This window comes from Homo sapiens, chromosome X (assembly GCF_000001405.40).
Source record: "Homo sapiens chromosome X, GRCh38.p14 Primary Assembly".
NCBI lineage: Eukaryota > Metazoa > Chordata > Mammalia > Primates > Hominidae > Homo > Homo sapiens.
The window spans coordinates 41,573,729-41,587,422 of record NC_000023.11 but is presented as its reverse complement, the minus strand read 5'-3'; the positions used below and the strand labels follow the sequence as shown (position 1 = coordinate 41,587,422).

General features: G+C 39.0%; 1 protein-coding gene across 12 annotated transcripts in view; it reads left to right on the top strand.

The window, feature by feature from the left end:
• CASK (calcium/calmodulin dependent serine protein kinase) overlaps positions 1-13,694 on the top strand; it is a 408,621-nt gene that overhangs the window by 336,132 nt on the left and 58,795 nt on the right. For all 12 annotated transcript variants that reach the window (NM_001126055.3, NM_001410745.1, NM_001126054.3 and 9 more), the window contains 2 exons: positions 436-516; positions 8,895-9,083. In NM_001126055.3, the coding sequence (NP_001119527.1) occupies positions 436-516; positions 8,895-9,083 (270 nt within the window). The remainder of the gene's footprint in view (positions 1-435; positions 517-8,894; positions 9,084-13,694) is intronic.

Genomic DNA, 13,694 nt, shown 5'->3' with positions numbered 1-13,694 from the left:
CTATTTGTGCCTGTGTCATTTTGACATTTCTAAAGGGAATTGGCAGTGCTGTTAATATAAAAGAAAACTTCTTATTAACTTTTTGTCCATATTGATTTTTATGGTGAGTTTGGAAAAGGATATTCAGAGATACTCTTCCGTTAAGTTTCATAAATCTGTAATAAATATATGTTGCAGCCTTGTCATTTTGCTTTATATTTTTCAATAACCTTTTAGGTTATAGTTGACAGACTTTTAGAACAATTTGCTTCATTTTTATTACCATCAATACTGTTCTTCTATGTATTAATAACATTTGAATAAAATGAAAAGTTTTTCAAAATAATTGTTTTGCCTGCCATAAAAATCCACTCATAATTTTTAACTTAAAAGAATTTAACATTTTGTAAATCTTGTGTCATGTTTGTATTATTGTATATCTTGTTTATTTTTTAGGTATTGGAAGAAATTTCATGTTACCCTGAGAATAACGACGCAAAGGAACTAAAGCGTATTTTAACACAACCTCATTTCATGGTAAGTAATAATTAAACTTCCATAGAACTGAAACCTCACTTTCAAAAGAAGTTTTTAAACTACCCTCATAAAATGTAGCCAGCTTCATCTCATGCATTTTTATCCATATCATATGAGACTATTAAGATTACAATACCAGGTAATACCAAATATTTTAAGACTGTTTTGTTTACTTTGTGTCACAACTGTAAAGATACTCTTGGTGAAGTGGCTTTTCAGGGACTGTACTCATCAGACAAGGGATTTTCTTTCTTATGGGGTAGTCCTTTAGTCACTGGAACTGTTTATGTTACTTAAACCACAAAGAACTAAAATTAGAGACAGTTTTCAATAATAAGGAATCGTCTGAATCTAGGTGATATATTGGAAGAATTACATCTCTTTTGACAATGCAAAACTGCTGCACTTTCTTGGTTCATTTCTACTATATGGAAAATGGGGATAACACCTGTATTTAGCCAAATATAAAGCTAAATAGCTAAACAAAGCTCAAAGCTCAAAATAGATAAGATACTTTGCTGTGGAAAAAGGTCCATGCTTATCTACCTAACTGCAATACAAAAACACAATTACAGATGGAAATTCATGTTGAATATACCATTTTAAAAGCATTAGCCACATCAGTTTATGTGAAAAATATGTGAAAAGTGGAAAATTTACCTCACTGCCCTTTGGGAGAAAATCTGACTTAAAAGCCTTGTTCTTATAACTACTATTACAGATGATACTTTGAATTTTTATTTATTTATTTACTTTTGAGATGGAGTCTCACCCTGTCACCCAGGGTGGAGTGCAGTGGCGCGATCTCAGCTCACTGCAATCTCCGCCTTCCAGGTTCAAGCAATTCTCCTGCCTAAGCCTCCCGAGTAGCTGGGATTGCAGGCGTGCACCACGACACCTGGATAATTTTTGTATTTTTAGTAGAGACGAGGTTTCACTATGTTGGCCAGGCTGGTCTAGAACTCCTGACCTTACCTCCTGCCTCAGCCTCTCAAAGTGCTGGGATTACAGGCATGAGCCACCATGCCTGGCCACAGGTGACACTTTTAAAATAATAGTAACAGTATAATATGTGTATCAAAGCAATTACCTGTGAGTTATTATATATATGCTGTTTTATGATAGTGTTTCTTTTTTTCTTTTTCTTTTTTTTTTTTTTTTGAGACGGAGTTTCGCACTGTCGCCCAGGCTGGAGTGCAGTGGCGCAATCTCGGCTCACTGCAAGCTCAGCCTCCCGGGCTCACGCCATTCTCCTGCCTCAGCCTCCTGAGCAGCTAGGACTACAGGTGCCCGCCACCACGCCTGGCTAATTTTTTTGTATTTTTAGTAGAGACGGGGTTTCACTGTGTTAACCAGGATAGTCTTGATCTCCTGACCTCGTGATCTGCCCGCCTCAGCCTCCCAAAGTGCTGGGATTACAGGCGTAAGCCACCGTGCCTGGCCCTTTATGATAGTGTTTCTAAACTTTTAACCAAGTTATTGAAATAAAGTTTTTTTCCTAAAAGTAACTACCTGGAAAGAAGCAATTACCATATTCATCCTTCCTAACTCTCCCACCCAAGCATTAAAGGCTGAATTCAAGTATAATCCTTGAGAGTATTTGACTTTATTCTATGGTAACAGCACTGTCCAGTGAAATACAATTAGGATACAGGTTCTAATGCCTGTAGATGAGTGCATTTTTACAACCTAGGTGTATAAACACAGAACTTCGTTCAAATCTCACCTCTTTTATCAAGGTATCTTGTAACCTCTCTACCCTTCTCTTGAACTTTCTCTTCTCTAACTCTTTTCCACTTGTTTGTATTCACCTGCATAACATTCTAATGCTTGCTGGCCTGCCAGAGCAGGTCTCTTCCCAGTGAATGAGCCAGGGCAATTTTTCTTTGTCCTTCCATATCCCAGCCCAGTTTTGTTGTTCTCATTGAGCTTATCTCATTTAGTCATTGTGATTATCTCTATTTCACAGAGCAGGAGAATAAAGAAACTATATGCTTTATTAATAATCCTCAAATGTGATGAATCACAAATATCTGCAGTTAAATTACCGTTAATATTACCTTGTTCACTGTTTCATGCATATGTGCTGTGTTTCCCCAGATTATAATTCATTCCCTTTTAGACAGCATGTCTTCTATAGCAGGGGTCTCCAACCCCTGGGCCACTGACCAGTACCCATCCGTGGCCTGTTAGGAACCAGGCCACACAACAGGAGGTGAGCAGCAGGCCAGCCAGCATTACCACCTGTGTCCCCCTCCTGTCAGATCAGCCTAGGCATTAGGTCCTCATAGGAGTGGGAACCCTATTGTGAACTGCGCATGCGAGGGATCTAGGTTGCATACTCCTTATGAGAATCTAATGCCTGATAATCTGAGGTGGAACGGTTTCATCCCAAAACTATTCCCCGACCTCTATCCCCCACCCCCACCCACCCTGCCATCCGTGGAAAAATTGTCTTCCACAAAATGGGTCCCTGGTGCCAAAAAGGTTGGGGACCACTGTTCTATATTATAAAAGTGGTTAAAGATGTGAATTCAGATGACCTGGGGTTGAACTCCATCCTTGCCACCGTAACTTTATGAACTCTGACTCTGAGTCAACCTCGTGGAGTCAGAATAAGAATTAAGTAGCTGATATATCTACTGTGCGTAGCACAATGCTTGACATATGCTTAGTGCCTAATAGATGTTATCTGATACCTATTATTAGTTGCTCCATAGTATCTATCATGTATAGGGCACATAGTAAGTTATCAGTAAAACATTGAATAGATTAGGAACCTGCCCGTTTGCAGATAGGTTAGGCTCTCCTTGGCTGACTGCTCTGTGCAGTGTTCCATAGCTAGAAACAGATATATAATAAATTTTGGACCAGGCACAGTGGCTCACGCCTGTAATCCCAGCATTTTGGAAGGCCAAGGCAGGAGGATTGCTTGAACCCAGGAGTCAAAGACCAGCAACATTGGGAGACCCCATCTCTACAAAAAATTAAAAATAAACTAGCCAGACATGGTGGCACATGCCTGTAGTCCCAGCTACTTAGGAGGCTGAGGTGGGAGGATCACATGAGCCTGGGAGGTCAAGGCTGAAGTGAGCCATGATGGCACCACTGCACTTCAGCCTGGGCAACAGAGCGAGACCCTGTCTCAAAAAGTAAAAAATGCCAGGAACTGTGGCTCACGCTTATAATCCCAGCACTTTGGGAGGCTGAGGAATGAGAGTCATTTGAGGTCAGGAGTTCAAGACCAGCCTGGCCAACATGGTGAAACCCCATCTCTACTAAAAATACAAAAAAAAAAAAAAAATAGCCTGGCGTGGTAGCACACACCTGTAGTCCCAGCTACTTGAGAGGCTGAGGCACAAGAATCACCTGAACCCAGGAGACAGAGGTTTCAGTGAGGCGAGATCACGCCTCTGCACTCCAGCCTGGGTGAGAGTGAGACTCTGTCTCAAAAAAAAAATAAAAAATGAATTTGGACAGACATGTCTTTCTATAAATTGCTAAGTAAACTCAGCTCAATTCAGAGAATGATATAGGGCCGTATGAGACCAATAGATCTTTCAGATTTGAAGTAAGCTAAATAAATTAACATATACCCAAATAGGAGCCTTTTTTTTCATCAAAATCATTACGGCTCATATAGCCCATTGTATGACAGCTTATCTGTCTTCTAAGTCTCGATATGTTTTGCTTTTCTGAAGTCAGAGAGAAGTTAATATGTGCATTGCTATTAGTAAACATTTTCAGAAATAATAAGTAATTTTTATAATTTATTGAATACCTAGCTAGGTGCTTAAAAGACATTTTCATTCATTTATCAAATAAGTAAATGCCTACTGTATGCCAGGCACACTATGCCAGGCACTAAGGACCTAGTAATGAATAAGACAAACAAGATCCCTGCCCTCATGGAACTTCCACTCTAGTGGAGGTGGGGTGGGAGGACAGGTAGGAGAGGTAGAGGTAGACAATGAGCAAGTAAGCTAACAAGATAATTTCATATGGCAATAATAACTATGAAGAAATGAAAGGATAATGGTGCAGAGATTATAGTAAAGTGGGAGCTGCTTTAGATAGGGGAAAGCCCCTCTGAGGAGTAGACATTTGGGCTGAGACTCCTTTGAGGAAGAGCAAATGCAAAGGCCCAGAGACAGGAAAGAGCTTTGTAGATTCAAGGAGCAGAAGTCCTTTGTGGCTGAGATACAGTTAACAAGGGAGAGAGTGGTACTTCCTGTACCAAGAGAGGTCAGCAGAGGCCAGACCAATTTATTTATTTTTTTAATATATAAAATAAGGCCAGGCATGGTGGCTCACGCCTGTAATCCCAGCATTCTGGGAGGCCAAGGTGGACGGATCACGAGGTCAGGAGTTCGAGACCAGCCTGGCCAACATGGTGAAACCTGTCTCTACTAAAAACACAAAAATTAGCCAGGCATGGTGGTGGGCGCCTGTAGTCCCAGCTACTCAGGAGGCTGAGGCAGGAGAATCTCTTGAACGCAGGAGGCAGAGGTTGCAGTGAGTTGGGATCGCACCACTGCACTCCAGCCTGGGAGACAGAGCGAGACTCCATCTAAAAATAAAATAAAAAATATAAATAAATAAAAGCCTTCCAGGCCATTGTAAGGAGTCTGCAGTTTTCTCCTGATTGCAGTAGGATGACACTAAGTGATGGCACGCAGGAAAATATCTAATCTGTGCCTTGCTGGAGCTGATGTGTAGAGAACGGACTGTAGGGGGGATAAGAGTTTAGGGAGACCAATTGGAAGGCTGTTGTGAGAGGTTGTAGAGGCTTGGAGAAAGGTGAGGATGGTAGAACATGGGCAGATGGGGTTTCTGTGTTGGAGATGGTTACATACAAGAGGACTTGCTGATGGTTGGGATGTAAGCTGGTGTAATTAAACCCATTTCACAATTCCGAGAGGAAATTGTGCCCTAACAAGGTAAAGAGACTTGCTTAAGGTCACTCACCAATCAGTGGCCTCAATGAGGTTCAAGCCAGATCCTGCTAGCGCCAAAGCCTATGCTCCTAAAAGTCAGTTGATTTATAATGCTAATCAGATTTCTAATAAATTTAAGTTGAGCTCATTGGTCATTCCTAAATAAGCTTTTGTGTAGATAATATCTTATGTGGGAAATATAATTCTGAGATATATATATATATATATACTATATTAAATAAGCTTTTAAATGCTGGGGCTTTCTATCTTATAAGCGTTTTTAAAATCATGGCTTCAAAATCTTGGTATTTTTAAAGAAATATTAATAGCTAAGGGGAAATATGTTAATACTTACAATTTTTTTATTATGCCAAGGTTTGGGAGTTATTCTTGGCATATTTATAATTTCACACTTATTTGCTCAGTCATCCGAATTTTTCTTTGCTTTCTGATTATTATAACATGAGGATTTAACATTGAATTACCCAACACTGAAAATCCAGATACTTGTAGATATTTACAGTAACTAAAGGAAGAGGAAATAAGGGTAAATTTAAACGACTTTAAAATTCTGTGTTTTTTTTTTTTAAGAGACGGGGTCTTGCTCTATTGCCTAGATAGGAGTGCAGTGACACCTTCTTAGCTCACTGTAGCCTTCAACTCCTGGGCAAAGCAATCCTTCTGCCTCAGCCTCCCAAGTAGCTGGGACTACAGGCATGCACCACCATGCCTGTCTACTTTTTTTTATTTTTTGTAGAGACGGGGGTCTCACTTTGTTGCCCAGACTGGTCTTGAACTCCTGAGCTCAAACAGTCCTCTTTCCTTGGCATCCCAAAGTGCTGGGATTACAAGCATGAGCTACCACACCTGGCCTAAAATCTGTATCTTTAGAGGTCATCATAAAAGAATATTATCTCACTGATTACTTTTTTAGTTATTCCATTTGAAAGGCTGACTTTTTAAAAAGAATATTTCCTTTGCTTATTGCAGCTGTAAAATATGAAACATTAAATAGTCAGATTTTTTCCACTCTAGTCTGATGTTGTTAGTTGTCTTATACATATCCTTACTATAGTACAAAAAGTGAAAGTGTTTTTTTCCTATTACACGATTGTTACGTAGTTAAAACTGACAGCTATTTCAGCTTAGTGACAACTGCTCACTCATACGTCTTAACATATTTGAAGAAAAATGTTCAAATTTTGGTTTCCCTATTTTTTATTTTATATACTCTTTTAAGCTTTTAAAAAGATAGTCTGTAAGTGGCCCCCTTTTTCTGTTTGGATATGAATTAGAGCTTTAGGTTAAGTTTCGTTTTGTGGTAGCAATCATTTACAGTGCCAAATTGTGGTTAATATCGAGTATGACCTTATTTGGTGACATCATTTAAGCATTTTTCTTTTAGAGTCCAGTTTGAGTATTATTTTATGATTGTGGGCTTAATCCTTCCTTGTAAATAATGCATTAAATACAAATGTTTGCTTATATAATTTAAAAGAATGAGTAGAGGCCTGTAATCCCAGCACTTTGGGAGGCCGGGGTGAGTGAATTGCATGAGCTCAGGAGTTCAAGATCAGCCTGGGCAACATGATGAAACCCCGTGTCTACAAAAAATACAAGAATGATCTGGGTGTGGTGGCACATGCCTGTGGTCCCAGCTACTTGGGAGGCTGAGGTAGAAGGTTCACTTGAGCCCAAGAGGTCAAGGCTGCAGTGATATGACGAACATAATTTTAGCAAATGAAATGTTCCAGTTTTTATGTTACTGATTTTTGCTTTTTGCCCTAAATCTTGGTTTCTTATGTGACCACAATTAAATCAGAAAAAGAGGGATTTGCCCACATAGGACAGCCTCTATACTTGGGCTCAGGAGTACCAGTACAAGGTGCAGTTAGGGCACTGGTGAGGAAGCCAAGGTCCCCAGGGCCATCATGGAGCACTACTTTCAAGCTATATATTGCTTAGTGCCCCTTGGTGCTCCTCACCCAAATCCCAGTTTAGACCAGCCTTCTGAGATTGTGAAAATATCTGCCATTTCCATTAGAAACTCAACTGTGTATAATGCTCAAAGCATATTCTTTACTGGTAACAAATCAGCATTATCTTCTTTATGATTTTACCAGATTGTTACCTTTTTTTTTTGCCTCGTATGCATGCCTTTAAAATTAAATAGCCAAGTCATGACTTTTTTAAGCCTTTTAATAAAATAACTTAATTTCAGATGCTATGAGTTATTATTTTTAAAGCAATTTTAACTGCATTTCATTATCTGCAGATATTACCGCACAGATCCCAAATTAAAATAGAACCAAATTTATAGTTAGCACATAAGAAAATATAATCTTTGTATAAAGCTCCAGACATTTTGATAGCTGTAGATTCTCTTTGAAATAGAAATGTTCAAATATTTATGCTTAATAGAAAGGGTTTATTATGATGGCACAAAAAGTGTGGTGAGTAGAAGGACATTCTTTTTTAGGGAAACAAGGGACATTTTATTGTTGAAGTTCACCAAGCTGACAAATAGAGATGTCAGTTCAAAGAAATCACTTTCTCTTTGTTAATAGGCTTTGCAAAAAGAAGTCATAATAATAATTCTCAACTTATTTTTTATTTAAACAAGTGCTCCAAAAAATATAATGAACAAAAAAATTTAACATATTTAGAGTTTGAGTTCCATATCATACGTGATATTTTGGAAGATTACGTTTTTAAGGTACATCTGTGTGTATTTTTTTCTTTTTCTAAATCATATGCTATAAATTATTTTCATCCTTTGGGTTATATAAAAGCGTCATTGTAAATGCCATTGATGAAAGATACTTGCTCAATACTCCAATTATTGCACTATTTCTTTTTAAATTTGTTTCAATTCTAAGCCCCAGCACAAATTTGCCAACTCTATTTATAGATGATTCTTTTAGCTAAATTACTTGAAATTGTACCGTCTACCTTCATTTGAACAAGTTAGTTGATAACACCTCTGACCCAGATAATCATCAAACACATCTCTTCATTGATTCACTCATTTATTCACTTACGTTTTAAAAAATCTATTTATCATGATTGTCACAAAAAAATTGAGATAGTTGGATGTCGATATTACACACTTTATGTTCTCTTTAGATGAATGATACCTTTGAGAGGAAAAGAATGAGATATGTTTATAGAATAAATTTGTCAGCCCCATGTCTACAAAGAAAACATTTAAAAATTAGCCAGGTGTGGTGGCATGCACCTGTGGTCCCAGCTACACAGAAGGCTGCAAAGGAAGGATCGCTTGAGCCCAGGAGATGAAGCCTGCAGTGAGCTGAGATCTCACCACTGCACTGCACCCTGGGTGACAGAGTGAGACCCTGTCTCAAAATAAATAAATAAATAAAATAAATTTCTGCTGAAATAGTAATGTTATTAATAATTTTTTTCTTCATAAAACACTAGGCCTTACTTCAGACTCACGACGTAGTGGCACATGAAGTTTACAGTGATGAAGCATTGAGGGTCACACCTCCTCCCACCTCTCCCTATTTAAACGGCGATTCTCCAGAAAGTGCTAACGGAGACATGGATATGGAGAATGTGACCAGAGTTCGGCTGGTACAGTTTCAAAAGAACACAGATGAACCAATGGTAAGTAGGAAGAGAAAGTTTTCAATACTCTCATAAGATCCCAGCATGAGTTATATCAACTAACTTCAACCTATGCTACTAGGAGTTGGGGAGGGAAGGAAGACATGGATAGTTTTAAAGAAATCAGTTTCCAGATCTTCAGTTCCCCCCTGCCCTTCTTTTCTAGAATTGTTCTGCCTGAAACTGTCTTAGGCATTCCGGTTCTCTTTCTCACCTCTCCTTTCACAATTGCCCTTCAACCAAAAAAAGGGGAACATACTGTAACATTCCTCCAGGGTGTAAAAACCTCTGGGGCAGCAAAGAAAGGGACAATTTGAAATATTGGTATTGGTATTGAGAAAGTGAATGTCTAGTAACATTGTAAAAATCATCCTTTTATAAATCTTATAGTTTTCAGATCTTTTGCCTTCAACAAAATTAGAGGAAGATTAATTCAGGGGGCATTCAAAGAATTGAGTAACACTGCTGAAATAAATTTCTTCCACTCCCAGCTACCTACTTAATATGAATCAATTTACTCAGTGCTTGGGAGTAGAGCTGGAAGAGAATTGATGCTGAACCTTGCCTCCATTCTCATAGAATTCTCGTAGACTGAGAAGATCAAGGAAAGGCTCCTTGATGTTAACTGAACAGAGCAAGGGGAGTGAGGGGAAGCAGGGGAATACTATTCAGCAAACCAAATAGCACATGTGTAAACCTGGTAGTAAAAAGGCTCTTATCATAGTTTCCCAATGGAAAGAAGGCACCATGGCTGAACTGCAGACAGCAAGGTGAGTGGCTGGAACAGAATCATACAAGTGTTGGAAGACATGTTAAGGATTATGTTCATTATCTTAAAAACAATGGGAGGCTATTGAAGACTTTCAAGCAGGGGGATAATATTAGATTTTTGTTTTAGAAATATCACTCTAGAGAATGTATGAGAGGGGTCAAGAGTGGATGTACAGAAACCAGTTAAGAGGCTGTTATTGCAGCAGTGCAGGGCAGATATGATGGAACTCTGAACTTGAGGGATGGATGTCAAGATGGAAAGAAGTGAACACATTTAAGAAATAATGAAAGAGTAGGTAATATCAGTAAGCCTTAACAATGGATTGACAGTAGAACTGAGGGAGAAGCAAAGATCAAGCACAGCCCTTAAGCTTTAGTCTTCTAAAACTGAATGGACGTTGAGACAGGGAACATTGGATAAGTTCCAAGTTGGAGGAGAAACCATATCTTTAGAAGAGGAAAAAAATTCAAATTTATGCATTCATATCTTTTTCCTCAGAACATAGAAAAGGGATATTAGGATATAGAAAAACAAATTACCTACTTCTGAAAGTTGCCTTTTAGATTAAGGGAAAAGTTATAGCAGTGACTCTATGACCATGATTTTTGGAGAGCCCTCAGCTTAGACATTTCTGGTCCTAATCCTCATTTAGTAATCTTTGCCAGTTATACAATATTATCTTGCAGCACATGGGGGGCATGCAGATCACCTCACCCCTTCTGGTACTATCCAGGCAACTCTTTGGCTTAAGAGCATAGGCTACAGCAGGTTTTGGGTGTCTTGGGCAAATCACTTCATGTCAGTGGACCTCAGTTGGCTCATCTCTAAAAGCATAGTTGACTAAATGAATGATCCCCAAGATCCCACCTAGCTCTGAAAGTCTAATATTCCATTCATTCATTTTATATATTCATTCATTTATTCACCAAATATTTTTGAAGTCCCTACTAAGTGCAAATCACTCTTATTAGATGCCAGTGATCTATTGTCAGATAAGACACTGCCCCTTACTAGAGCTCACGTTCCACAGGGCTGGCTACATTAAACAAGTAAATTTGTAGCTTAGCACGGTTTACTTAACAAGCCCAGTTATGACAGAGCTGGAGAGGAGAGAAAGCTGTGTTGGAGAGGCAGGAAGGTGTGATGTTCAGCCAGGCAAAGCAGGCAAGAAGGTAGAAGGGACCACAAGAAGGAGGCCTCAGAGTGTCTTGGGATCATTAAGTTCTCAAGCAGTCCAGTGACAGCTGCTTGATTGTTTGTGTGAAGACTCACTACATAGAAACATAGACTGAATTGGCCCGGTGCAGTGGCTCACACCTGTAATCCCAGCACTTTGGGAGGACGAGGCGGGTGGATCACGAGGTCAGGAGTTCGAGACCAGCGTGGCCAATATGGTGAAACCCCATCTCTACTAAAAATACAAAAATTAGCCAGGTGTGGTGGTGGGTGCCTGTAATCCTAGCTACTCAGGAGGCTGAGGCAGAAGAATCGCTTGAACCCGGGAGGCGGAGGTTGCAGTGAGCCGAGATCGCGCCACTGCACTCCAGCCTGGGCAGCAGAGTGAGACTCCGTTTCAAAAAAAAAAGAAAAGAAAAGAAAAGAAAAAAGAAACATAGACTGAATAAAAGCATAAAACTACATCCCTGAGTTACTTTTTCAGAAAGCGTAAAATGGTCTTGAGTCTCCCCTAAAAGTCTCCTTCCAAAAGCTTTTCTGTCTTCGATGATCCTAGTGAAGATGTATATTTCTTCTCCTTTTGATGGGTTTCCATGAAAACAGGAATTATTTTATGTGAAATATAAAATATATATTTTCAATAATAGAGTGTCAATCTCTAATGCATTTAATACAACTTTATTTGCTTTCTTAGTTGTCTTATTCAAAGCATTATGTTACTGTGCAGGATATTCCTATATGATCTGTTTTGTTTTTCAGACCCTCTGCAATGTGTCCATTCCTCAAGGGTGACATACTCCTGTTACACACCTCTGTTTTCCCATTTGTAGCATCATACTCATAATTTTTTTTTTTATTGATTGGAATTCCCATAGTTGCAAGTGACAAAAATCAAGCTTGAACTAGCTTACAAAATAGAGGAAAGGCTTATATAAACAGGGAAAGGCCAGGAGTATAACTTTCCTAATATCTCCCCTCAAGCTGGTAGGTTCAGGAGTAGGCACCTAACCCAAGCTATGCCAATGCCTTCCCTAGAATTTGTGAACTTGGGAACAGAGAGAAAGTGAATCAGTTCCTCTCTACAGAGAAATGTTTGGGACCTACAGAATAATAAATGTTAACTACAGTTGGTTTGAGGTGAACTTCTCCTGGCCATGGGAGACCCTTTTTGTCTCATTTGCTACTGTACCTAGCAGAGTGCCTGCCTCATAGTAAATTCACGTTAATGTTAGTTGAATGAATACATACATCTATTAGTTTCAAGGGTGGAAGCTGTATTGTACTATCATTTCCCTTATGAAATTAGATTTGACTTACACACTAATTTACAGCATTTTTCCAGGAACACTTTTCTTAGTAACCATACAAGCTGATTGAATGTACAAGTTGGAAATGAAACTTGAATATTACAATTGAATCTTAGGACTGGAAACATTTTGATAAACCAGTTTTTCACATTGCTCACCTACCACTTCTGAAAACTGCAAAATAGGAACAATGCAAAGTTATAGTTTGTGGAGTGGTACAAATTAAGTTTAGAGTATAAAGTCTCAGATATTTTTATCAAGCTTTCTGACAGTGTTATTCTCTAGTGAAAAATAAAAGACACAGTCCCTACCCTTAACTGTCTCAAATTCAAGGCCACTTTCCAGCAAGGGAGCCTGTTAAAAAGTACAGATTTCCGGGCTCCATTCGAGGCCTCCTGAGCTTAAATCTAAAGAGTGGGTTTAAGAGTCAGCATTATTTAAAATTTCCCTGTGTGATTCTTAGGATTAACCAGATCTAGTGCAAAAAATATGTTTATGAATGCTTGTTTTTTTTAATAGTGGATAATCAGAAAACAAAAAGTAATCCACTCTGTAGAATAGTATTCTGGCATTAAATGTGACTATAGAACTTTCATTTCTGTCCAAGATAGAGTAACTGGGACCAGATTTATCCTCTCATTTGAAACAACCCAACATATAAAAAACAAAATATCATGAAAGAACAGTTTTCAAGACATTAGACATCAGGCAACTAAGGACAGTGATCTCTTGTGAGACAGGAAACAAGGTGACCCATATGAATGCCCCACCATGCTGCCTTGAGAGAGTTTCCAGGCCACAGCACAGGGAGGGGAACTAAGGCAGAGTAGGCAGACTCCCTAAATTGAGGGGACAGAGCTGAGAGTCTGGGGTGACCAAAGCAACTAGAGTTCATAGGACAGAGTACTGAAGAGGAGAGAGCTGCACACAGACAGAACCTCAGATCTGCAGAGGATCTCCCTCAAGTATTCAGCAGAGTATCGATCAGTGCATGTCTAATAGGAAATTCCCCAACACTGAGAAACTCCCCAACACTCTCCACTTTGGATGGAAAAAAAAACCATCCAAAAGGATTGGAAGGAACAGCGCCTGCACTACCTGTTCCCACCAGTCAGACTAGAAAAATTTCTAATTCATGGCTCATTGTGTAGAGCGCTCAGGGAAGTCTTATCTCTGTAATGAGAAGTAATTAGCCCCAAACTGACAACTGCTCCAGACCTGCCTAATGGATCATGAACGCAAGACCCAAAGGATCAAACTATGTCCGAGTAACTGATCTAAGTCTCAGAACAAAACATAAGAATATTTTTAGGAATACAAAAACATCAACTATGCAACAAATTCACAATGTCTGAC